Consider the following 26,946-nt stretch of genomic DNA (forward strand, 5'->3'; position numbering starts at 1 on the left):
TGGTAGGGCTCTGGAGGCAGCATCTTCCACACTCGGAAACACTGCTTCAGCCCTTTTGCTGGTGACTGGGAAGACGTCCAGCATTGATCCAGGCTTTGAAGCCGGTCCAGGATGTAGTGAGAGCAGCCCTGTCACTTGTGGCCTTGTAGCCAGCAGGCCTATGCATTTGAAGTCATTTGCATTGCCATGTAAACTCCTCCATCGCTCTCCCCAAATCTTTTTTGTTGTTTTGAGATGGAATTTTGCTCTTGTTGCCCAGGCTAGGGTGCAGTGGCACAATCTCGGCTCACCGGAACCTCTGCCTCCTAGGTTCAAGCGATTCTCCTGCCTCAGCCTCTCAAGTAACTGGGATTACAGGCATGCGCCACCACGCCTGGCTAATTTTGTATTTTTAGTAGAGACAGGGTTTCTCTACTCAGGCTGGTCTCGAACTCCAGACCTCAGGCGATCCTCCTGCCTTGGCCTCCCACTCCCAAAATCTTTAGTGAAGAGGTACCTCCCATCACGGGTGGGTGTGAGAGGCAGTGGAGTTTCACATCCAGATTCATGTGCTGTAAAACAGAGACTAATATGGACGTGTAAACTCCAAGACCATGGAGAACTTACGTACCTCTGGAAATTTTCAGAAAACCAGAGAAACTCAGGCAAGGATGGAATGTGCAGGGAGGCCCCAGCTGATAACTGGGTTACGCGTCTAAGTCATCACCATACAGATTAGGAAGGTGGGGAGGATTTGTTAAAAAATGAGAAAAATGAGTTTTTTTCCCACAAATTTTTGAATCACTTAAAATGTGATTTTATTTATTTTTTAGACTTCGATTTTAAGTTCAGGGGTACATGTGCAGGTTTGATATATAGGTAAACTTGTGTCATGGGGGTTTGTTGTACAGATAATTTCATTACCCAGGTATTAAGCTTAGTACCCATTAGTTATTTTTCCTGATCCTCTCCCTCTTCCCACCCTCCACCCTTCGGTAGACCCCAGTGTGTGTTGTTCCCCTCTTTGTGTCCATGTGTTCTCATCATCTAGCTCCAACTTATAAATCAGCATATGTGGTATTTGGTTTTCTGTTCCTGCATTATTTTGCTAAGGATAATGGCCTCCAGCTCCATGCATGTTCCCGCAAAGGACACGATCTCATTCTTTTTTATAGCTGCATAATATTCCATGGTGTATAGGTACCACATTTTCTTTATCCAGTCTATCATTAATAGGCATTTAGGTTGATTCCATGTCTTTGCTATTGTGAATAGTGCTGCAACAAACATATGTGTGCATGTGTCTTTATGAGAGAATGATTTATATTCTTTTGGGGATATACCCAGTAATGGGATTGCTGAATTGAAGAGTAGTTTTGTTTTTAGGTCTCTGAGAAATCGCCCCACTGCTTTGCACAATGTTGAACTATTAGGTTGGTGCAAAAAGTAATTGTGGTTTTTGCCTAATAATTTACACTCCCACCAACAATGTATAAGCGTTTCTTTTTCTTCGCAACCTCACCAGCATCTGCTATTTTTTGACTTTTTAACAGTACCCATTCTGACTGGTGTGAAGTAAATCAAGATGGATTAAAGACTTAACTGTGAAACCCAAAGCTATAAAAGCCCTGGAAAACAACCTAGGCAAAACCATTTTGGACATAGGAATGGGCAAAGGTTTCATGATGAAGGTGCCAAAAGCAATGACAACAAAAGCAAAAATCGACAAGTGGGATCTAATTAAACTAAAGAGCTTCTGTACAGCAAAAGAAACAATCATCAGAGTAAACAGATAACCTACAGAATGGACGAAAATTTTTGCAAACTACGCATCTGACAAAAGTCAATATCCAGCATCTATAAACTTAAACAAATTCATAAGAGTAAAACAAAGAACCCTATTAAAGAGTGGGCAGGTACATGAACAGACACTTTTTAAAAGAAGATATGCATGCAGCCAACAAGCATATGAAAAAAAGCTCAACATTACTGATCATTAGAGAAATACAAGTCAAAACCACAATGAGAAAAATGAGTTATAAAAGGCAACAAGGCCAGGTGCAGTGGCTCACGCCTGTAATCCCAGCGCTTCAGGAGGCCAGGGTGAGTGGATCACTTGAGCCCAGGAGTTTGAGGTTACAGGGAGCTATGATCACATCACTGCACTCCAGCCTGGGCAACAGAGCGAGACCCTGGCTCTAAAATACAGACAGACATACATACATACATGCCTACATACATACAATCCTGTTTGTTTGGCTTTTTCCCCAGATACCAGGTGGCATTGCCCTGGTCCTCCTCCTGCTCTGCTTCAGCTCCCTGGGAATCTATCTGCTGTCGAGGCTGCCAATGTCTGGGCCAAAAGTGCCCAGTGTCTCCTGCAGATGCCTGGGCTGAAGCTGACAGCAGGCTCTTCACCACCACAAGGGCAGTGGGGCCACTGTCGAGGCTGCCAGCCCTCACGCCGCCACTGCAGCTGCTGCCCTTTGGGCTCACAGCGCCCTACAGAGAGCCCAGTGAATGCTGCCTACACAGCCTCTCCCCAGGACAGGAGCTGGCTGGGGGATCCCCTTGGTAGTACACATTCGGTTATACTTGGCAGTGGCATATCTAATGATTTGATACCCAGAGGGTATAATTTTAAAACAATCTTCCACATGACAAAATAATTTTCAGTAATAATCATGAAAAAATGAATGGTAGTAATGGTCAGAAATGAAATGCAACAGGAAAAATTTTTTTAAAACTTTCTATATATAATCATGCCCATAAATAAATAAGGAAAAAAGAAAGATGACAGTGCAAAAAGAAAAACATGAGCAACATTAATAACTCTGAATTATACTAATATTCTTTTTGCCAACATTTTATTGTGCATATTTTCCAACATACAGTAAAGTCAGAGAAATTTTACAGCAAACACTTTTATGCCCAGCACCTAGATCTTACCAATAATATTTTCTTATATTTTATCACACAGCTTTATCACGCAGCTATCTATCCAACCCTCTATCCATCTACCAATCTTATTTTTTGTTTTAAACTTTTTACTTTACAAAAGTGTTAGTAATTCTAGCACTTTGGGAGGCCGAGGTGGGTACATTGTTTGAGCCCAGGAGTTCGAGACCAGCCTGGGCAACATGGCGAAACCCCATCTCTACCAAAAATACAAAAATTAGCCGGGCATGGTGATGCACTTCTGTAGTCCCACCTACTCAGTAGGCTGAGGCTGGAAGATCTATTGAGCTCAGGAGGTCGTGGATGCAGTGAGCTGTGATGGCACCGCTGTACTCCAGCCTGGGAGGCAGATGGAGACCCTGTCTCAAAAATAAATAAATAAAAATAGTGTTGGCTTTACAGAAAAGTGCAAAGATAGTACAGAGTTCCCACACATCCTGCATCCAGTTTCCCCTATTATTAATATCTTACATTAGTATGGCACCATTTGTTACAACAAATGAGGAAACAATAGTGACACATTTTTATTAACTGAGCTCTCTGCTTTGATCAGATTTATTAATACCCTTTTTCTGTTCCAGTATCCCGTTCAGGATATCACAGTCCATTTAGTTGTCATGGCTTCTTTTTTTTTTTTTTAAGCTGGAGTCTAGCTCTGTTGCCCAGGCTAGAGTGCAGTGGTGCGATCTTGGCTCGCTGCAGCCTCCGCCTCCCAGGTTCAAGCGATTCTCCTGCCTCAGCCTCCTGAGTAGCTGGGATTATAGGTGCCCGCCACCACGTGTGGCTAATTTTTTTTGTATTTTTAGTAGAGATGGGGTTTAACCATGTTAGCCAGGATAGTCTCAATCTCCTGACCTTGTGATCCGCCCACCTCGACCTCCCAAAGTGCTGGGATTACAGGCGTGAGCCACCGCGCCCTACCTGTCATGGCTTCTTAAGGCTCCTCTGGGCTGAGACAACTTCTCAGACTTTCCTTCTTCCTAGACATTCCTTGATGACCTTGACAGTTTTTAGGAGGGAGTGTTGGTCAGGTATTCTGTAGAATGTCCCTTAATTTGGATTCATTTTCTCCTGGTGAGCCTGGTGTCAGGTGTTTGGGAAGAAGACCACAGAAACTAAGTACATTCTCAACACATCATATCAAAAATACAGGCTATCAACGTAACTTATCACTGATGGTGTTAACCTTGGCTGCCTGGAGAAGATGGTGTTTGTCAGGTTTCTTCATTGCCAAGTTACTTCTCCCCTCCTTTCCGTATTGCGCTCTTCAGAAGCAAGTCTCTAAGTGCCATCCACACTTAACACAGGGTAGGGAGTTGCCCTCTGCCTCATTGCAGGGCGATCATCTACATAAATTATTTGGGCTTCCTTTGTATGGGAGAGAGTTTTCTCTTTTCACCCATTTACTTATTTATTCAATAATTTATGCACATTAGTACGGGCTGGTGATTATTTATTTTATATTTTGGATTATAACCTAATACTTTTTTTTTTTTTTTTGCCCCAATTTTTCCAGCTTTGGCCACTGGGAGCTGTTCCACTTGGCTTCTGTGTTCCTTTGAAATATCTCCGTGGTTTTATTTTTTGAGCATTTCCTTACTTTCTAGCAGTAGAAGATGTGCCAGCGTCATCTGGTATACTCTCTGACCCAGTCTTAGAATCAGCCATTTCTCCAAGAAGTCCTGGCTCCTTTTGTTAGGAAATGGCAAAAGAAATCAAGATATGGGCACGAGATGTGTGTGTTGCTACTGGAGTATTGTTGTTTCTAGGCCCTCTCAGTGGATAGGGATAAGAAATATATGACTGTATACTAACCTGTATATATACCCATATCATCATTATTTCTATATCAATCCATTAATATCTATATTAATCTAAACATGAGTTCATATTTATGTTTCTGGTTCTAATCCACAACCACACATGACATTAGAGCCTCTTCCTCTTGTTTATCTGTGGCCTCCCTCCCTGAGAGTGAGCATGTACCAGCCATTTACTTATTTGTTCAGTCTCTGCATACATGTACAGCAGTCTCAGAATTGTTAACTGGTACCCCTTGAGAAACGCCTTTACCAACTAGAGTATAGTGCTAAGTACAGTTCCTTTTGTCTTCAGTTTTCCAGTTTCCATTATTTCCACAGTTATAGAATACCAGTCCTCTTCGGTGCGGTTATGTTATAAATGTGTAATAGAGTTAGGCTCTTTTGTCATTGCCTGTATTTCATCCTGGGATCCCCCAGCCTCCTAGTTGATTTTGTAAAATTTTGCAGACATTAAGGTTCACTGTTAGTTTTGTAAAGTTCTATGGTTTTCCACAAATGATAGTATCATGCATCCACCCCTACAGTAGCATATGGAATAGATGCCCCCCAAGATCCCTTGTTCTTCACATAGTCAACATTCTTCTCTCCCAAACCCCAGCAACAACTGGCTGATTTGTTTCTGTCTCTATAAGTTTTGCCTTTTCCAGAATATAAACTTTTCCAGGATGTAGCCTTATCATTCTGGCTTCTTTCACTCAGCAACATGCATTTAATATTCGTCCATGCTGTATGAATGAATAGCTTGTTCCTTTCGAAAAAGGGAAAATATGCCAATGTTAGTTCTATCTCAGTGATAAATAGTAATATTTTATGACAACTTTTGCAAATTAGGTAATGACTTCATCAAAATTGATCTTTGTTTCTTCATATTCAAAAGACAGTACATTATCAACCAGATTTGATAATCTATATTTACTCATGGTTAATCAAGAACACTTTTTATTAGTTTTCATTTTGAAAAGCTTCTTTCACATAAGATAGCAGATGTGCAAAGTTTACAGAAGAGGTATAATCTTAGTGCTGTTACAAAGGAAAAGATGCTCAATCTCACTGTGAGATAAATGCAGATCAGAATTGTGCAATAATATTTGCACTTCTCAGATTGGCAAAGATCAAAGAGTTTGATGACATAATGTGTGAGTGAGGAGGTGGGAAAGCTGGAACTCTAACACATTTGCAAGTGGAAGTGTAAATTGGAATATACTTTAAAATTATGGCAATAGCTATCAAAATTACATATGCACATCCCTTTGCTTCCACATTCTGTATATAGGATTTTTTTTCTATAGAGGTGTTTTCATATTTGTGAAATGAGGTATGTAAAAGATTATTTATTGCAGCATTGTTTGTAAGGGCCTATGGTTAGAAACAATGAAAATGTTCATCAATAAAGGGCAGAATAAACAAATAAAATTAGTTAAATTAAATTGTGGTCAGGCACAGTGGCTCACGCCTGTAATCTCGGCACTTTGGGAGGCCGAGGCAGGCAGATCACCTGAGGTCAGGAGTTCGAGACCAGACTGGCCAACATGGTGAAACCTCATCTCTACTAAAAAAATACAAAAATTAGCCAGGCGTGGTGGTGGGCACCTGTAATCCCAGCTACTCAGGGGCTGAGGTGGGAGAATCACTTGAACCCAGGAGGTGGAGGTTGCAGTGAGCCAAGATTGCGCCATTGCACTCCAGCCTGGGTGACAAGAGACTCCATTTCAAAAATAAAAATAAAAATAATTAATTAATTATATTGTATGCCATCATAAAAAGATGACATGAAAAGATCTTCCAGACACGTTAAGTGAAGATTGCAAGGTGTTGACCAGTGTGTATAGTATACTTCCATTTGTTTACAAAGTATTCATTTGCATACGCAAAAATGATCTTTTGGGGGACAGTTAAGAAATGTATAATGGTGCTTGACTTTGGCAGAGCAGGTAGACAACCTGGGGTTGAAGGAGGTCTACTTTTCATTGTACACCCTTTTGTGTATACATCCTTGTGTGCACCATGTTAATGTACATGTGACTGCAATGTAAATAAATGAAATTTAAATTTTAAATTATTCTTTGAGAGTATAGACTAACTGCAGAGATTAGGAGAGGGATGAGAGCCCCACATATCTGGATTTAGCAACATCCTGCCTACAGGACAAAAGGACTAGTGGCATTGAATACAGAAAGGTGAAAGGTGGTCAATATCCCAATGATCCTTTGGTCAGGTAAGGAAATATCTATGTTTAAGGATCAAACGTGTGCAAGGAATGCAACATACAGATAAATATGGTTTTTTTTTTTTTTTTTTTTTTTTTTTTTTTGAGACGAAGTTTTGCTCTTGTTGCCCAGGCTGGAGTGCAATGGCACGATCTCCGCTCACCGCAACCTCTGCCTCCTGGGTTCAAGTGATTCTCCTGCCTCAGCCTCCCGAGTAGCTGGGATTACATGTGCATAACCCCACACCAGGCTAATTTTGTATTTTTAGTAGAGACGGGTTTCTCTGTGTTGGTCAGGTCAGGCTGATCTCAAACTCCCGACCTCAGGTGATCTGCCCGCCTCGGGCTACCAAAGTGCTGGGATTACAGACATGAGCTACCGTGCCTGGCCAATATGTTTTTTTTAAACAGATAAGAGAAAAAATTCTAACAAGGTAAGGGAAATATTTATATTATGGATTCAGGCCTAGGAGTCACCCCAGATAGTCTGTCTCCTTCCATCCACCTATGTATGAACCATCAAATCCTATCTATTTAGCCACCAAAAAATATCACAAATATATAGACTTTCCTCTACCAGTTCCCTAGGCCAAGCCACCACCAGCCTAGCTTTGCATTCCCTAACCCTTCCATTCTAAATTAGAATTCCTAGTAGCCTTTATTCTCTTTCACAACACCTTTTATTTTATTTTTCTTCATAACTCTTACCAACATATAAGAAGTTTAATGGCATACCTATTTAATTAATGTCTATTCCCCAGCTGGAATATAAACTCCATGAAGTCAGAGACTGTGTCTGTTTTGCTAGTTACTATATTTCCAACTCAAACATTTGTGTTGAATGAATGAATAAACTAGACTATGGAACTCCCTGGAGAAACAGAGCTGTGTGTGTAATGGAAAACTTTAAAAATCACATTGAGGAGACTATCAGGAGATAAATTATCAGAAGCAAATTGTGATCATAGAAGAGCCTAGAAAATATGCTAGGTCTTTTCGTCTCTGACCTCCACTGATTTGCCACACACTGAGAACTGTCAGCTTAGACATTTCACCAATGTGGCACAAGACTTTAGTACTAGCAGGCTGAGCAAGTCTCCTCTCCCTTGGGAACTTGGTTCTCTCAATTCTGCTTTGGGGTAGATGAGCAAAGAACTTCTTATCTGAAGACATGAAGTCTAAGAAGACTGTATTGTTCTAGCAGCATCTCCCTAGCAAGTCTGTACAGGCTGAGTATGAATCAGGCGGAGATTATGACCAGGTTTTACTTCAGGCATTTTCTAAAATCACTCCACAAAAGTTCAGCTCTCATAATTGAAGATGACATTGATCTCATGCATTGCCAATGTACATTTTAAAACTCTCAGGGAGTCAGGACCATCATGAGTAAGTCTCCAGTGACTATGTTACCAGGTTATAATGGTCAGGAGCACTTTGTATATAATTTGCTTCATGTCCCATTGTATTGTAATCATTTATGTGTCTCTCTTCTACCATTGCACTGTACACTCCTCAAGGCTCAAAGGCAGGAATATAATAGGAGCTCAATAAATATTTCTGGCTTTTTGGGGTTTTTGTGAGACAGAGTCTCACTCTGTAGCCCAGGCTGGAGTGCAGTGGTGTGATCTTGGCTCACTGCAACCTCTGCTTCCTGGGTTCAAGCAATTCTCCTGCCTCAGCCTCCCAAGTAGCTGGGATTACAGGCACCTGCCACCACACCCAGCTAATTTTTGTATTTTTAGTACAGACGGGGTTTCACCATGTTGGCCAGGCTAGTCTCAAACTCCTGACCTCAGGTGATCTGCCCGCCTCAGTCTCCCAAAGTGCTAGCACTACAGGCATGAGCCAATGTGCCTGGTCAATAAATATTTCTTGAATGAATAATCTGAATACAGTACATGGATTTGACTTTTGAAGGAAGACAGTTTATATAGAGACAGTTATATTCAATCCACCACTTATTAGATCTGTAAACCAGAACAGATAATTTAATCTCTCTTTACCTTCCCCCTTTTTGAAAAATTATGAAGTATTTAAATATATACACAAATATAAAGAAGGGTAAAATTAACATTTATCTGCTACCTAGCTTTATATTATTTTGTCAAATATGGCTGAGAGAATGCCATGTGTTCATCAAATATTGTTTCATTTTTCTCTTTCTGGGCACACAAAAAGACTGCATTTCTCATCCTCCTCTGCAGCCAGATGGGTGTCATGAGACTAGTTCTGCCAATGGACTGTAAGCAGATGTGCTATGTGTTACTTCCAGGGTAAGCATAGAAGAATGACTGAGTTCTCTGTTCTCTTTCCCTGCTGCAGTGATCCTGGAAACCACGTTTGAAAACAGTGTTATCAGAAGACCCTGGAGCCTCCATCAGTCTATACCCCTGAATATCTGTATGGATCAGTGTATGAGAATCGCCTTTGTGCTACATCTTTATCAATGCTGAGCTTTTCCAGCTTTAAAAACTTTTCTGACAGTTTGATGGTGTGAAATCATTGTTTTAATTTGTGTTTTGCTGATCCTGAATGATGCTGAACACCTTTCCAAATGCTTGTCATTTGGGTTTTTCTGTGAGTGCCTGTTTGTATCCTTTGCCCATGGTGGATGGGGGAGTTCATTATTCTAGTGTTCTGTGGGATGATTTTATATATTTTGGAAACCAATCTCCTATCAGTTGCATTCATTGCAAATACTTTCTCCAAGTGTGCAGCTTATCTTTTTACTTTGTTTAAAGTATCTTTGTTGTATAGAAATTTAAATTTACCAGTCTTCTTATGCTTTGTGTAAGAATTTTTTCCTATCCCAAAGTTCTAAATATATTTTTCTATATTCTCTTTTGAAAAATTTTTTTCTTTCTACAGTGATGTGAATTTGAAAGTTTTAAAGACTTGATTTTCATTTGTAAGTCTTTAATCTACCTGTACAGTAATAGTTTGTGTGCGTGTGTGTGTGTGTGTGGTGTAATGTAAGAACATATTTGTTTCCATAAAATAGCCAATTTCTCAAGGCCATTTATTGACTAGTTCATCATTTCCATTGATGACAATACAATTTTGCCGTATATCAAGTTTCCATTGATGCACAGGTCTGTTTATAGTCTCTTTAACCTGTTTGACTGGTTTATTCATCTGTCCCTGGGCCAAGGCCATGTTGTCTTAATTGCTATAATTTTATAATAAGTTTTGATATGTGGTAGTGTAAGTATCCCTCCATTTCGATCTTCATTATTGTCTTATGTTTTGTTGACCCTAAGTATTTCAATATGAACTTTGGGATGAGCTTGTCAAATTCTACAAATAACTAAGTTGGGATTTTGGTTGAAATTGTATTTGCATCCTGTTGTTACTGTGGTTGAGAATAATTTTTTTTTACTATTACATTTTCTAGTTAATACTAATGATGCATAGAAATGCTGTTGATTCTCATACATTGATTTTGTATCCAGAAATCTTGTGCCCTCATATTAATTGTGTACATAGAGTCCTTGGAATTTGTCCACAATGTATATTCTTTAATAAGAGTAACTTATATAATACATTTTCAGTTCTTATGTTCCTCTTATACAGTATTGAATAAAAATGGTGAATCTTATTGAATCTTATTCTTATTTTAATAAAAATGTTCTTACAGTTTCACTATTAAGTATTTTGTTTGCTGTATGGGTATACTTAAGCTAAAGAAATACATTCAAATTTTTTATGCCTCAGTCTCTTCACCTGTAATATGTAGATATCAATGCCTGTTTTATTTATTTTTCCAGTCTATTGTGAGAATTAAATAAGGTATCATACAGGAAAGATCACTGGAAATAGTGAAGTACTATATTCAAATGTCAGTTAGTGTGTATATATTGTTTGTTCACTTTTGTGTCCCAGTACCTAAAACATTTTCTGGAACCTAATTGGTGCTCCATAAATATGTGTTGGATAATTGTGGAAAACAGTATTAATATTAAACAGATGTTTCATGCAAAGTATTATTTCCTTATATCTTAACAGGGATGGCAACACTGAGATATTCATGCTGGTATCCCCTGCATTGCCTGCCAGTGGCAAAAAATTACTGAATTATCTCAGAAGGCTTCTTCTGAGCTCGGACTGTCAACCTCAGAATCCATTTCGACTTAGTGTTCTAGGCAGCTATTTCCAATCTATTATAATTGGAATATGAAAAGAAACTTATTTACTTATTTACCAGTTTACTACTGGTTTGGTACCAAGCCAATAACATTGAATCTCTACTCAATTGGGCATATGGTACTGTTATGAAAGAGAAATTTAGGAATCAAGGGTTTCTCATTCCCAAAAGTAAATATCCACAGGAGGGCTACATAATCACCAGCATTTAGGAAAGCTCAGTCTGTTTAATTGGGTTATTCTTCTTGTGTATTTCTCCATAAATTGAAAACACAATGATATCTGTTAAGTAAAAAGGCAACATCAGGCCTATGAAAATATTTCTTCCTTATTAGTAAAGTGCTTTGTTCCTATGTTTATCTTTGTTATTATATTGCAGGCTGGAAATGAGAACTGTGAGCATCATTTTAATAAGTGGATTAAAGGTCTTTATTTCGAAAAATTTTTCCACGAACCTTGCTGAGTCTTCTATTTCTGACAGCTAGAAGTAGAGGTGAATCATGTCATCCCCTTATAAACAAGAACAAACAGGCACTAAATTTACAGAGTAATTGTAAAGCAAGTCATTTTATGTTGTATATTTATGTTGCTTCTCACAGCCTATTTGCTATTTTCACATCTTTTCAGGTTATTAATTTATGATTTCCTGTAAAAAGGGACATTACTGAGTTTCTCTTCCCAGGCATTTCTACCTTCCCTCCCACATACCACAAACCCCTGTCAATTTTTGCCCTAGAATATACAAAATTTAGAGATTAAAGATATAAATGCAAGGCCCATGTCACTGGAAGGACTTGTTCATTTATTGAGAGCTGGCTGATTGTTTCATTAAGTAATATCTCATATAAAAACACAAATATCTGATGCCTGAAAAGATTATGGGTGTCCCTGTGGCCCTTGATACTGTCATTTCCCACTCCGGCTCCTGGGAGGTGGATGAGCTCCAGCGTGGCACCCGCATTGCTGGGCTTTTAGGAAATGTGTTTTAATTTTAAAACAACTCAGATGCTATATTCTCCAACAACCAACTTTGCCAAGATCAAGCCTTGAGACTCTTATAAAAGATTAAAATTTCAAAGCTAGCACTTTTCAGTGAAGGGCACACATCATTATTTTGTTCTAATCTGCAAACACCTGACAGGCTCAAGAAGCAAACACGGCCAGGAACCAGAAATCCAAATATTGTGAAGTCATTGTTGCTTTTCAATTTTGATTCAGCCTGTTCAAAAGCTATTAAGTAATGAAATGTACATGATATAATACTATACGAAAAATGGAGTTTACGAAACAGTATGAGATATATAAGATAGATGTATAAGATATATGCATAACTTATATGGCATTATATATAAAATATTAAGTTAGCTGAGGTCTCTAAGCCTCAATTTCCTCTCCCGTAAAGAAGGTAATCATATCTATCTCATAGAGTCATGATATTAAATGAGATAATCCATGCAAAGTACACAGTATAGTGCCTGGAAGGCATATAATAATATATAGTCTATATTTTATTACCAATATTTTAGAACAAAGGCTAGATGGATATATACCTAAATCCTAAAAATGGTTATTTTGGGGTTGTGGAATTGCAGGTGGGTGCTATTTTCCTTCCTTTGCTTTGACAGTATTTCTAAAATTTCTCTCATGAGTCAATATTACTTTTTTTTTTAATAAGAAAATTCAGAAGTTAGCCTCCTTTGACCAAAAGTACTCAGGTGGTTCTCACTTGCTCAATGATGAAGGGTAGAAATGGGATGAGCAGTGTTAATGACATCTGTAGAGCTTCCTGTGACAGATCATTAGAAAGGCCCCTGGTGAATCCCACCTTTCTAGTTCATATCCTTTTGCTGTGTGGCTTTGCTGCTCTTCCCATCAATAAATGGAGTCTAATTTTCCACCCTTTGAATTTGGGCTTGCTTTGTGACTTGCTTTGTCTCATGAAGAAATGTCTGACAAAAATGATGCTGTGTGAATTCCAGAACCTGGTTTTTAAGAGGCCTGGCAGTTTCCACTTTCCCCATCTTGAAATCCTGAGACTTTCTCTGCTGTGAGAAGCCTTGTTTAGTTTATAGGAAGGATTGCTGATGGGCTGCAACAAACAGCAAGCACCAACAGCCAGACCTGTAACTGAGACCATTTTGGACCCTCCAGTTCTAGGCAGGAGGTTGATGACCAGAACTGCATAAGTGACCCCAGGCGAGATTGAAAAAGAGGAGCCCAGGAGTGTGAGACACAATATAACATTGATATTTTAAATGACCATGTTTTGGGGTGGCTTGTTATGCAAGAGCAGATATCTAAAACACTGCTCTTCATAGATGTCCGTGCTACCCAAACACTGTCTACTTCAAAGGGGCTGCAGAAAGAAGGGACTTCTCTCCAAAGACATTAATTTATTGTGCAATTTGTAGAGAGTAAAAAAATGCTTCCTTTCACTTGTGCTTTGTAACCTGAACTTAAATGTACACTATTGTAAATCTATATGGCTGGTAAGTATGGAATTGAGGGTCCTCTAACCAACTACTCCAGGGGCAAGTGTCCTCATATCAAGGAGCCCATTAGCTGGGCATGGTGGTGGACACCTGTAATCTCAGCTACTTGGGAGGCTGAGGCAGGAGAATTGCTTGAACCCGGGAGGCGGAGGTTGCAGTGAGCCGAGATCACACCACTGCACTCCAGCCTAGGCAACAGCGACAGAGCAAGACTCTGTCTAAAAGAAAAAAACAAACAAACAAAAAGGAGTCCAGTGTTTAAAACTTTTGAGAAACAATGTCTCACTCTCACTTTCCTATTGTATAACTTTCATTTTCTGGGGCTACCCTGGCTGGGATATCAAGGAACCAAACATTCATTTATTTGTTGATCCATTTTTCAGATGTATATTGAACACACATTATGTATGAGACTGGGCTAAGCAATGAAGCATAAAAAGACTTTAAGACATGGTTACTGCTTTCCACAACAGGAAGATATGACATGCAGATAATGTCAATAGGAAGTAATGCATGCTAAAGCACTCGGTGAATGTACAGGCAACTCATAAACCATATGAGTTTCGGGGAGGAAGAGAAGCCTTCCAACCAGGATGACCAGAGTTGACATTATAGTAACCACACAATTTGATTTTAGTCTTATAGACTGAGTTAAGAATTTGGTGGGGGTGAGATGGGGAGAGGCCATGCAGACAAGGGAATCTTCATGAGCAAAGGGCAGGAGAAAGACACAAGACACATTTGAGAGAGGTATCTAGGAGACAAATTTAAATGGAAGGTTCATTTACTGACTCATTTATTGCTTCAGCAAATATTTACTGAATGCCTAGTAGGTGTCAGAAACTCTGCTAGTCTCTGAAAATGCTGAAATATAAATGACCCAGCGCCCATCTTTAAGGAATAAGTAATCTATTGTGCAGGCAGCAAATAAGCCATTGCAGAGAATGGGATGGTAAATTCATGGTTGAATACCAAGGAAGACAAGCCTGGAAAAGTAGGTTAAGGCCAAATTGTGGAAGGCTTTGAAAACCAGGATTTCTCTCCTGCAGTTCAGAGAAACTTCTACTTAAAAAAAAAGTGGAAACTTTTAAAATAACAAATAATACTGTTATTTGGAACTGCAGCATAAAAGACAGATACAAGTGGATCTGTCTGGATCGAAGAGGAGGGGCCTAGAAGGCTTACTGGCCTTACCTCTCTCTCAGTGCTTTTCCCTGCGGCAATCCCTAGGGCATCTCTACAGTTCAAAGGAACACAGTGTCAAACATAATCGTATTGTGCTGGCAACAGAGAATTGCTGAAGTTTGTTTGTTTAAATCAGGAGAGTTCCATAATGTACATAAGATGCCCTGTCAACATAACTCACAATTGTTGAGCACTTACCAGGTAGCAGGCACCATGTTAAGTGACATACTATTTAATATTTACCACAACCCCATCAGGAATGTATTATTAATAATAAAAATAATGATGATAATAACGTTCCCACTTTAGAGGTGAAGAAGCTAAGTTTCAGAGAGGCTAAGTAAATTCTCCAAGCTACACAGTTTGTAGAGCAGGGATCAGAATAGAACTGATCAGATTGCAGAGCCTGTGCTGTATTTTAGGCACAGCTGGTGAGGGTATGAGGCTTCTAAGCTCTCCTGCCTCCTAATCTGCTTACCATATATTAGATGCTTGATTAATGGTATCTATTATCATTACCATTATCTTTATTACCATCAAAAGAGGACAGCTCTATAGGAATTACATTATACATTTGGATATGCAATTTTAGTTGAGGCTGATGAACTAGTGGCCTAAAATCACTAAATTTAAAGATGACTTGTTTCAACATAATAAATAAAGTACGAAATATTTTCATTTACCATTCACTCATTCTATTGGGATAGTGTACAGAGTCATGAAAATATTGCCTCAATGGATTTTCAGCTACTCAGAATAGCTCTCCATAAAGAAAAAACAAAACAAAACACAAATGGCCAATAAAAAATACTAAAGGATGTTCAGACTTACTCATAATTAAAGACATATCATTCAAAACAGTGAGGCTCCAGTGCTGCCATGTGTAGTTGTTCGGTTTGAGCACTGTGTAAGGTGGCTGGCCAAAGGGCAAGTGGAGTGAAAATGGAATTCTGAATGGCAGACTCCATGTTCTGTCATGGTCTCAGTCCGCCTAGGAGGTTATAGGAAGCAAAGAGAGGAGGGAGATTTTTAAATTCCTTTGCCCAAAGGGATTTGAAAAATATTAATGCAAAGGCATGTGTCTTAGTCAGCTTATGTTGCTATAAAAGAATGCCTGAAGCTGGGTAATTTATAAAGAAAAGAGATTTATTTGTCTTATGGTTCTGCAGGCTGTACAAGAAGCACGGTGCCAGCATCTGCTTCTAATGAGTGCCTCAGGCTTCTTCCACTCACAGTGGAAGGGGCAGGGGAAAGGGAGCTGGTGTGTGCAGGGGTCACATTGCAAGAGAGCAGAAGCAAGAGAGAGAGGAGGAGGTGCCAGGCTCATCTCAACAAGCAGTTCTTTCGGGAGCTAAGTATGGGAATTCACTCATTACCATGAGGCCAATCATGAGCATCCACCCTCATGACCCGAACAACTCCAACATTGGTGATCACATTTCACATGCGATTTGGAGGGACAAATATCCAAACTATATCAGCACCCCACATATAATCTTTTCACCTCTTATTATGGACAAAGGTTTAAAAATTTTGTTATGTCCACATCTAGTGAGGGTGCAAGGAAAGGGGCATTCTCTTACATTGACTATGGAAATTTTTGGAATTTAAATTGGTGCTGTTTTTTTGGAAAGCAATTTTACAATTTAAAAAGAGTTTAAGTTCTCACAACATTTGATCAGGAATTCTACGTCTATGAATTTATCCTATATATATACTATACAAAAGGGCAAAGAGGATATTTGAGGATGTTCCTTGTAATCTTATTTGTAAAAGTGAAAAACAAAACACTATCCACATATTCATGTAGGAAAGTCTGGTTAAAAATTTATGGTACATCTATGTAGTGGAATAATATGAAACTACTATGAAAGTATGTGTATGCACTGATATGAAAAGACATGCAGAATATGTTAAATGAAATCAATCAAGTTGCAGAGCAGTTTGCATGTGATACTCTTACTTCTGCAGAAAAGTGACATAAATGTGTGTATATGGTTGTAGACTTATTTTCTGGAAGGATATACAAACAATAGTTAACAGTGATTCCTTCCAGGATGTGGTACTAGAGGAATAGAGGTACAGGATCTTAATCTTTTTTTTTTTTTTGAGATGGAGTCTCACTCTTGTCACCCAGGCTGGAGTGCAGTGGTGCAATCTTGGCTCACCGAAACCTCCACCTCCTGGATTCAAGTGATTCTCCTGCCTCAGCCTCCCAAGTAGCTGGAACTACAGGTGTGCACCACCATGCCTGGCTAATTTTTGTATTTTTAGTAGAGACAGCGTTTTGCCATATTAGCCAGGCTGGTCTCAAACTCCTGACTTCAGGTGATCTGCCCACCTTGGCCTCCCAAATTGCTGGGATTAAGGGTGTGAGCCACCATGCCCAGCCTTGGGATCCTAATCTTTAACTTTATATCTTATTTGTTCAACTATTTTTTAAGAATAAGATGAGAACAAATTAATGGGTTTTGGGGGAAAACAGGTGTGAGACAAGAGTGTGCTGAAATGCAAATACTCTTGGATTTGATACTTAGAGAGGGGAAGGAAGCAGGATTGGGCAGGAAGAAGTTGGATCATGAAACAGTCTCAGTGAAGGCCTCAGTTAACCCCACTGAGATATCTGAAGCTGGAACAGCCCTTCAGGGTCGTCCTGAGTTGAGACAGGGGGGCTAGACCTTGACAGACCCTGGCATCAAGCAGTCAGTGGATGAGGGCTGTCTCAGGAAAAGGATGTGGCCTAGGGAGAGGAGAGCCTCAGCTGGGACAGTTCTGAAGACTCCTGAAGGGGGCACATTGTAGCACCACTTCTCTAACAAAATTGTTTTCCAAAGGTTCAATGACAATTTAAATTTGTCAAAACCCCTCTCAGACCTTTCCAAGGCAGCTGCTGCAGCTGAGAACGGCACTGGATTTTGGCTCTTTCTCCTTGGCTCTGGCTTCCCATATTAAAATATTGACATGTCATTTGATTGCTGGTCTCTTTGAGTTCCTACCCCCAATGCTCAGCAAACTGTAAAAAGATGAAACGTCTTCCATATCAGAAACATCACTGTTCTTTTTCTTTTTTAAGATGGTGCCTCCACTCATTATTTAAAACTCTAATAAAGGGGGTTTAAATCTGCTGGTTAATTTGCTACACGGTCTTGGGAATTAAGGGGATACTGAATTTTTCCTTCTGTGTAGCCCATGAATAAGTAATACTTTGACTACACAGAAACCCTTGTTCCTTAATAAAATGATGTTTTATTGAAGCTGGAGAAGCACATCACCTTACAATGCTTTTATATCAAATACTTGAACTAGTTTGTTTTGCCCGCTCTAAGAAGGAGTGAATAATTTGAAAACAACTCAGTTGGCCTGGTTTATAGGCGTATAACACATTGTAAATAAGCTTATCTGGAGAATCTGGATACTATCAAACCATAATGGAACATAGGCTTCCTCGGGAAACTAAATCGTGTGGTTTGAGGGGAGGACAAAGGAAAGCTCTCTGGAACAAAGGAAAGCTCTCTGGAAGGGAACAAGTGCTTCTGAGTTTGTTAGTTTAGCAGGATTGGTTCTGGTGTGGGATGGCAGTAATATTTGGCTTCAAAGCAGTCTTTATCCCTTAATAATTCCCTAATCCTTGCTGTTATGTGAACCAGCAAACATTTGAAAGGCAAAGCTGTAGAATAGAATTAGGATGGTCTCCTGAGTGAGGCAGAAAGATTCAGTGAGAGGAAAGGACTTTCAGGGTTCCAACAGAAGCCTACATTTTGTGAAAGTCAGTAAATATCAATTATAAGCAAGATGCTCTACAAATCTCAGTATGATTATTGGTGCTAATCAGGTATAAAAACCACCGCAGTGGCTCCCTATTATGGAAAGAATCACAGAAAGGGAAAGGCCTCCCCTAGTGCTTGCTCAAAATCGTACATGGAAGAGGCTTAGGGGGGTCTAAACTATTCGTTTGGAACTGGCAGACTTACCTCTAAGCTGTGTTTACATATCACTTTACATAATGTTGAGAAAAACTACGTCTATAATATTAATACTTGTCCATGTCAAAGAATGAAGGAGGTGGTTGTCAATGGTAATGATGGGGGCGCCAAAGTCCATTCACATCATCCCTACATGCTACCATTTTTCTTTCCTATGAAAATGAAATTGTAATGAACAATGTGACCAATGAAAGGTGATTTCTTAACATTTTGCTTGGGGTCTTTGAGTGTAAAGCTATGTTAACTGCAGAACAGTAACGTAAATTTGGGTTTATTAATATCATTAAGGTAAACCTATGAATTTGCCTTTGAACAAAATACAAGGTCATAAAATTGATTATAATGAAACAAAACTATAGTGACAGAAAGCAGATCAATAGTTGCCTGAAGACGGAGGAGGGAGGCGGGAGAGATTATACAGGAACATACAAATTTATAATTCACAATTATAAAGTTATAATTCAGCTTTATAATAAAGTTTTGACATATATATTCACTTGTAATCTCTCTTCCCTCCTCTCTCTACAGGCAACTATTGATCTTCTTTCTGTCACTATAGTTTCGTTTTCATTTGTTTCCGTTTACTGTATAAATGGAATGTACTCTTTTTTTGGGGGAGCCTGACTTCTTTAACTCAGCATGATTATTTTGAGATTGATCCACATTGTTGGGTATATCTATGGCTCATTCCTTCTTATGGCTAAGTAGTATACCCTTGTATGGATATGCTGCAATTTGTTTACCTATACACCTGTTGATAGATATTTGAGTTGTTTCCAACCTGGGCTATTATACACAAAGCTGCTATAAACATGCATGGGCAAGTATTTGGACCTATACCTTCTTTTCTGTAAATACTTAGGAGTGAAATGGCTGGATCATATGGTAAATATATGTTTGACAGTTTGAGAAACCATCAAACTGATTTTCAAATTAGTTGCACATTTTACATTCCCACCAGCAATATATGAGTTTTTCCAGTTGCTCAGCATCCTTGCCAACACCTGATGGGGAGAGTCTTTTTAATTTTGGCCATTCTGGTGGTTGGGGACTGGTATCTCATCGTGGTTTTCATTTACATTTCCCTTATGATTAATGATGTTGAACATATTTTCATATGCTTGTATGCCCTCCATATATCTTTTTTATTGTTGAAATGTGTGTCTAAATATCTTGCCAATTTTTAAATTGGGTTAGTTGGCTTGGAAAAAACACTCCAGGCAGTTAGGACACCTGAGTTCTATTTCTAGATCTGGTCCCAGTGTTGCCATACTATTTGACCACAGATTTCTTGCCTCTCTCGACCCTTTGCAAATGAGGTTAAGCCCACTGCTCTGTAAGTCTTCTTTAAGAGTCAAGTTATTTGTTGGGTATATGTTTTGGAAATATTTTCCCTGAGTTTGTGGCTTGCCTTTCTTAGTAGCATTTTTTAAAGAGAAAAAGTTTTAAATTTTGATTAAACCCAATTCATTAATTTCTTTCTCTTATAGTTTATGCTTCTTGTGTCATATTTAAGAAATCTTTTCCAAAGCCAAGATCACTAAGATTTTTAAAAGATGTTTTATAATTTTATAATTTTTAATTGTAGCTCTTACATTTAGCTCTATATTCCATTTAGAGTTACTTGTGGTATATGGTATAATGTGGGGGTTGAGGTTACTTTTTATTTTTTCATGTGGCTGATGGTTTCAGCGTTATTTGTTGAAGATATTATCCTTTCCTCATTGAATTGCCTTGGCACCTTTGCCAAGAATCAATTGACTATATGTGTGCGTGTGTGCATATACATATGTGTATGTATACATATACATGTATATGTGTATATATATGTATGTATGTCTAATGCTGGGTTCTCTCTTATGTTTCATTTTTGCCCATCTTTAGACCAGAACCTCTCCTGATTACTATAGCTTATGATAAGTCTTGAAACCTTGTAGTGTAAATCCTGTATCTTTGTTCTCTTTTTCTCTCTTTTGTTATATGGTAGATTGTTTGCTTTTCCATATTCAGCATTAGCTTGCCATTTTCAGACAAAACCCTGAAGGGATTTTGATTGTGAATGCATTGAATTTAGACATCGGTTAGGGGAGAATGAACATCTTAACAATATTAAGTCTTCTAATCCATGAAGATGGTATACCTCTCCATTTATTTGGATCTCCTTTTATTTCTCCCAGTAAAATATCTGGTTACAATAACTGGTTACAAAAATTAGTTGATTATAAACTATTATGAAAATGTATTTTTGAAATCAAGGTCTGTATTTCCTCTTAAGAAGCAATAGACTAGAACTGCCTCAGAATAGAGGGAGGCCAAAATATGTGGGGGCTGCATGAAGTTGTGCCTTTGCTCATAGAACTTTTAAAGAGGAAAAGTTTTTAATTTTGATTAATTCCAATTCATTAATTTCTTTCTTTTATAGTTTATGCCTTTTGTGTTATTCATTCTTACAATAAATGGTATCCTCCTCCCTCAAACTCATAATATCATTTTATATCACCTTAACAAGAGATTACAGATATGTTCAACAATGACTGTCATTCACCAACTTTGTTTTCATTAAAAATTCAATGAAAAGATTACATATGAGTAAGATATATATATATAGCATGTTAGTATTATTTTAGGCTTTCTTTAAAAAAAACATCATTAAAAAGTGATCACAGACTTCCACTATTTTAAAAGTTATAACCTATGTCAATAAGGTTTACTTTTAAAATTCAATGTGATGTTTGGGCATCTCTAACTGAGGCTATTGTAAAAGGTGATAATGTTCAGATGGGTGAGGAAGAATGGAAACTTCTGATGCAGCAGGTGGGTGGATGACAGCCTCTCAAGTGGAGGGATAGGGCACCACATCCATAAGAAGAGGGGGGATAAGAAGAACGGCATATAAAATCATGGAACTTGAGGGTAGAAGGGGATCTTTAAAAGTCACTCAGTCGGCCAGGTACAGTGGCTCACACCTGTAATCCCAGCACTTTGGGATACCAAGGCGGGCAGATCACCCGAGATCGGGAGTTCAAGACCAGCCTAACCAACATGGAGAAACCTCGTCTCTACTAAAAATACAAAATTAGCTGGGCGTGGAGATGCATGCCTGTAATCCCAGCTACTCGGGAGGCTGAGGCAGAGAATGGGGTGAACCTGGGAGGTGGAGCTTGCAGTGAGCCAAGATCGCTCCACTGCACTCCAGCCTGGGAGACAGAGCGAGACTCTGGCTCAAAAAAAAAAGCAAAACTCCATCTTAAAAAAAAAAAAGATCACTCAGTCAGACTACTCATATTTAAAGGGAACATCTGAAATACCATGGAACAGGACAGAGAAGAGCCTAAGGCAACAGATAAGATCTTGGATTTTTTTTTTTTTTTTTTTTTTTGAGATGAAGTCTCGCTCTGTCACCCAGGCTGGAGTGCAGTGGCGCGATCTTGGCTCACTGCAACCTCTGCTTCCCAGGTTCAAGAGATTCTCCTGCCTCAGCCTCCCAAGCAGCTGGGATTACAGGCGCCCGCCACCACACCTGGCTAATTTTTGTATTTTTAGTAGAGATGGGGTTTCACCATGTTGGCCAGACTGGTCTCAAACTACTGACTTCAGGGGATCTCCCCGCCTCAGCCTCCCAAAGTGCTGGGATTACAGGCGCGAGTCACTGTGCCCGGCCGATCTTGGATGTTCAAATGGCTATGCCAAGGTCTATGTCACAGGCCAGGACTAGACTACTTTATAAGTCACCTTTGTAAAACTAGAAAATAGTGTTCCTGTGGGCCAACACAGATTCACCGGCACTCACCCTGGTTAATGAAGTGTGGGCTAGATTTCAGTCTTCCCTTATCCCCTTGGCTATGTGTATTTATGTAGTTGCACAAAAGCCAAACAAGTGGTCTTTCCATAAGCCAAAGAGAAATCTAGAAACCAGAATTCCTAACTCAGTTGATTTGAGAGTGAGGTGATGAGAGTCAGCACAGTTTAAACCCAGAGGTTTCAACAGAAAATAACTTTTCCAGCAATCAGGTAGAGATCAGAGTGGATAAGACTTGGTGGTGGCATCACAGGATAGAAATCAAGGCACTGTTGATGCAAGATAAGAGTGGAATACAGAAGATGAAATGGAGAACTCTATCTCCAGGGGTCACATTTTGTTGGAGTAACTGAAAGGCTAAAGAACAATGACAAGGGGCAGCTGGGAAACTGTCAGCATCTTAGCCCTCATGAAACTATGCTTTGTCTCTGTATTTCTTTTCCAAAGTTCCCTCCTGCTGAAAGGATATGTTTGAGCTGAGACATGGTGGAGGTGAATGTGTGTTGCAGAGACTGAGAATTGGCCTTTGGTGGGAAAACTAAAGAAAAACCTCCATTTGGAATTGCTTGAACCCAGTGGGTGGAGGTTGCAGTGAGCCAAGATCGCACCACTGCACTACAGCCTGGGCGACAGAGCAAGACTCCATCTCAAAAAAATAAAAAAAATAAAAAAAAAAAGAAGAAAAGAAAAAACCTCCATTTGATTTTGATTTTGAATGATAGCAAAAAGGAATAAATTTGGCTTCCACCAGACATGAAACAGGATATATCTTCTTAATTTATTCACTTAAGTCCAATGTTGTTTTTAAGGTCTGGACAAATAAACATACAACTTTGTATCAGTATATTAGAAGTATGTTGTGTAAGATCAGGAAAGAACTTAAGGAAATGTGGAAAGCATTCAACCTCTAAATCAGCATATACATTGCTACTATTACTTTCCAAGGAAAAACAGAATTTAGGTTTTTTTTAAAAAACTTATGTAACCATTGATTATGACCTCAGGGACTTTGGAATAACTACAGAAGGGTCATCTAGGTTTTTTAACTGTCATCAAAGCTTTGCAAATAGTTTAAAAAGACATTGAGGCAAATTTAGGGTATTTTACTTTATTACCAGAATTAACTCTATAACATATGACTTTTCAAATTAAAACTATCCTAATGTAAACTCTTTGCAATTTTAAGAATTAGAATTTCAATTATTGAATTACTGAAAAGTTCATTTGGTTTTCTTAAAGTCTGGCCGTTAACCCCAATCTCGCAAGATGGCACTTTACAATACAGATTCTGTGGTTAAAAATGTTTGAGAAACACTGGATACTCTTGTGAGGGAACATGAAACACATTAGCCCATTAAAAGCTCTGCAGTAAGGGAAATTTTTAAAACTTTAACCAAGAGAGTTTCCCAAAGTTATGTGGCTATAGTATGCCTTCTTAAAGTAAAATTTTCATTTATTGACCATTGTTCTAGTTATAGATTGCTGCTTACTAAACATTCCTAAAATTTAGTGGCTTAAATGAACAGCAATCTTTTTTTTTAGTTCATGAATCGGCAATTTGGGCGGGGCTCAGTAAGAATGCTTGTTTCTTCTCCACATGGTGTCAGCTCACGTAGCTTTACTCAGGGATGGATGATGAACTTCAGTATGGTTCACTCATATGGCTGGCAAGTTGACATTGACTGTCAGCTGGGAGTTCAACCAGGACTGAGGGCACAGGTCTCTCCATGCGGATGTCTCCATGGGTTGTTTGGGCTTCCTCAGGGCACGGTGGTGGGGTCTAAGAGTGAGTGTTGCAAGTGATGGAAAGTTGAAACAGCTAATGTTTTAAGGCCTGAGTCTGGAAACGGGCACAATATTACTTCTGTTGTATTATATTGGTTAAGCAGCCACGGATCCAAGATGCAAGAGGAAGGGACATTGATCCCTAACTCTTAGTGGGAGGAGTTTCACAGAATGTAGGGGTTGTATGTTAAAATCATACGCACAGGAAAATGCACAGATCACAAGTGCAGAAGCTTTTGACACAATAAACTCACCCATGCACTCAGTATCCAGAAGACCTCCCCTTAGGTCTTCCTCCAGGCATCACCCCCTCATAGGTAACCAATATCTTGACCTACAATACTAAAGATTAGCACAGCCTCAGCTGGATAATTCTTTGTGCTGTCCTGCACATTGCAGAATGTTTAGCAGCATCCCTCATCTTTACCCACCAGATACCAGCAGCATCCCCTCCCCTAGTTGTGACAAAAAAAAAATGTTTCCAGAAATTGCCAAATATCACTGGATTAGAACCTGCACATTTTGCACATGTACCCTAAAACTTAAAGTATAATAATAATAATAAAATAAAATAAATCTATTTGTCTAAATCCCACTTAGTCATTTAAAGTTCCAAGAGATTTTTTCGTCTGTTTTGATTTTGACTGATTCCTCAGTCCCTAGAATACTGCCTGACATATACGAGAAAACTGATGACTATCTGTTGAACAAATGAGAGAATGAAAGATACCAATTCTAAATAGTTATTTAAAGAGTCAGCTCTAAAATATATACTTTTTTTATTCTACCAAACCCGCAATCGCAAATCATTTGGTTCATTTTTGTTAGAAATGATCATTTTATGACAACATTGATATAAAATACAAGAATATATTTGCCTCTAACAGGAATCTATATTGGTTAATTTCCTCCTGTAGCAACATGAAATATGAGTCATGGAAATAGAAAAGATTAGGATTTACCAGACAAATAGGCAGTGTCTCATGACAGTGTTAATAATGTAATAAGCCTCAAATTGTGGTTTGTAATGGTCATGACAGCTTTGTGAAAAAGGAATGCATAGTAACAAAAAGTTTTCATTAAAAACCTAGGAGAGGTACTAGGTCCTGAAAGATTAGAAGGGGGAAGGAGGAAATGTATAAGACAGTAGTAGGGACTTGAGTAGTTATTTCTTTACAGGGGAAACTGAAAATTTCTTTTGCAAAATAGCCTCTGATATTACTCTGAAAAAAAATCTCCACTGTCTCCCCCATTGCCTGTGGCAAGCATTTCCTATCTTACCAGGTAAATTTCTTAAGGCTTACCCCAAGAACAGTGTTCAGTGGAAATAGTGTTCTCCATGAATTTTGATGGATACTGTATGTCCTTCTTTTTGAAATTCCTAACTGCACTTATTTGCTCTTCATTCACCATTATGTCAGAAAAATGAACACAATCACCATATAATGCCACTAAAATTAGGGGCACAATAAAAATCGAATTTTACAACTGCAAAGGTTCTTAGAGATCACATGGTCATTTTGATGAAGCAAACTACTACACATTTATAGTAACTTACCTTAGGAATTACCCCATTGCCTAGGTCATTCTGAATTGTTTCATCTCCTTGAAGACACCTCTGTTAAACATGAAATTCCTGTGTAAGACACAAAGTGCAGAGAAGTTAGTGACTTGCCCAATGTCACAGGGTTAACAAGAGGACAAATAATTTGGAGCTAATGATCAAAATGATCATATCCAAAATATGTCTCATGAAACAAAGAACAAATGTAATACATAAAAGTAGGGGGCAATGGGGTAGCACAGAGGCTTTTATCAAGCCCAAAGTGTCGGTTGCCAGATGATGCTGTGGTTGGGTTACTCTCATTTAGTCAGTGTCTGAGTGAAACACATTTAATATTGACCATTCAAATACTTAAAGTTCAAAAGATGTTAGGGAGTCTAGATTTTTAAACTGGAATTGGAGTACCACTTGTAAAAGAAGGATGTCTATCTAGTTTTTATTTTCTAATTTCCCAAGATTTGGATGCATTAAGCCTTCTCATCGCACTGCCAAATGTTTATGATTCATTTTAGCAGAAGTTACTAGGGATGAGGAGAAGGTGGGAGTATGTGTGTGTAACAGTTCTGTATGACGCAGAAAGAGAAATGAATTAGAAGGGAGGATATTTTTCGATTCCTTTTATGAAATAAAAAAGAGCTTAAATCAGGTGACTTGTTTACTTTTTCTTGTTTTCAAAATAGAAAAAAGAGAGACCCAAAACCTGATTTGGAATTTTCTGAATGACACACAATTCTATTTCAGGAGAATAATTGTCATAATCACAGGTTAGTTACCTTCTTAAAATATCTAAAAAATTCCTTTCTAAAAATATAACTCCACAGGGACAGAAAACTGTATTTACGTCACAGAATACTTGTATATCAAAGGAATTTGCTACTTCCATCTAATCTACACAATAGCATTTAAAGAACTAACTAGTAAATTTATTGTCTAAATAAGGAAGGGGAAAGGAATTGACATGTAATTTCTTTCACTAGGTGTAAAGTTTTATCATTTTCATTTATTCATTCAACAATAATGTATGGAATA

General features: G+C 38.6%; 1 long non-coding RNA gene across 7 annotated transcripts in view; it reads right to left on the bottom strand.

The window, feature by feature from the left end:
* Nucleotides 1-3,261: 3,261 nt before the first annotated feature.
* LOC102724351 (uncharacterized) overlaps nt 3,262-26,946 on the bottom strand; it is a 29,933-nt gene continuing 6,248 nt past the window's right edge. For 2 of the 7 annotated variants that reach the window (XR_428808.4, XR_007062281.1), the window contains 3 exons: nt 25,912-25,989; nt 24,608-24,695; nt 23,661-24,348 (listed from right to left, as the gene is read on the bottom strand). This is a non-coding gene — a long non-coding RNA (uncharacterized LOC102724351). Of the gene's footprint in view, nt 3,297-3,795; nt 5,509-23,660; nt 24,349-24,607; nt 24,696-25,911; nt 25,990-26,946 lie in introns of those variants that run through there. The other 5 variants (XR_428807.3, XR_007062278.1, XR_007062282.1 and 2 more) reach the window with 4 other exon arrangements.

This window comes from Homo sapiens, chromosome 10, assembly GCF_000001405.40.
Source record: "Homo sapiens chromosome 10, GRCh38.p14 Primary Assembly".
In the NCBI taxonomy this organism is placed as follows: Eukaryota; Metazoa; Chordata; class Mammalia; order Primates; family Hominidae; genus Homo; species Homo sapiens.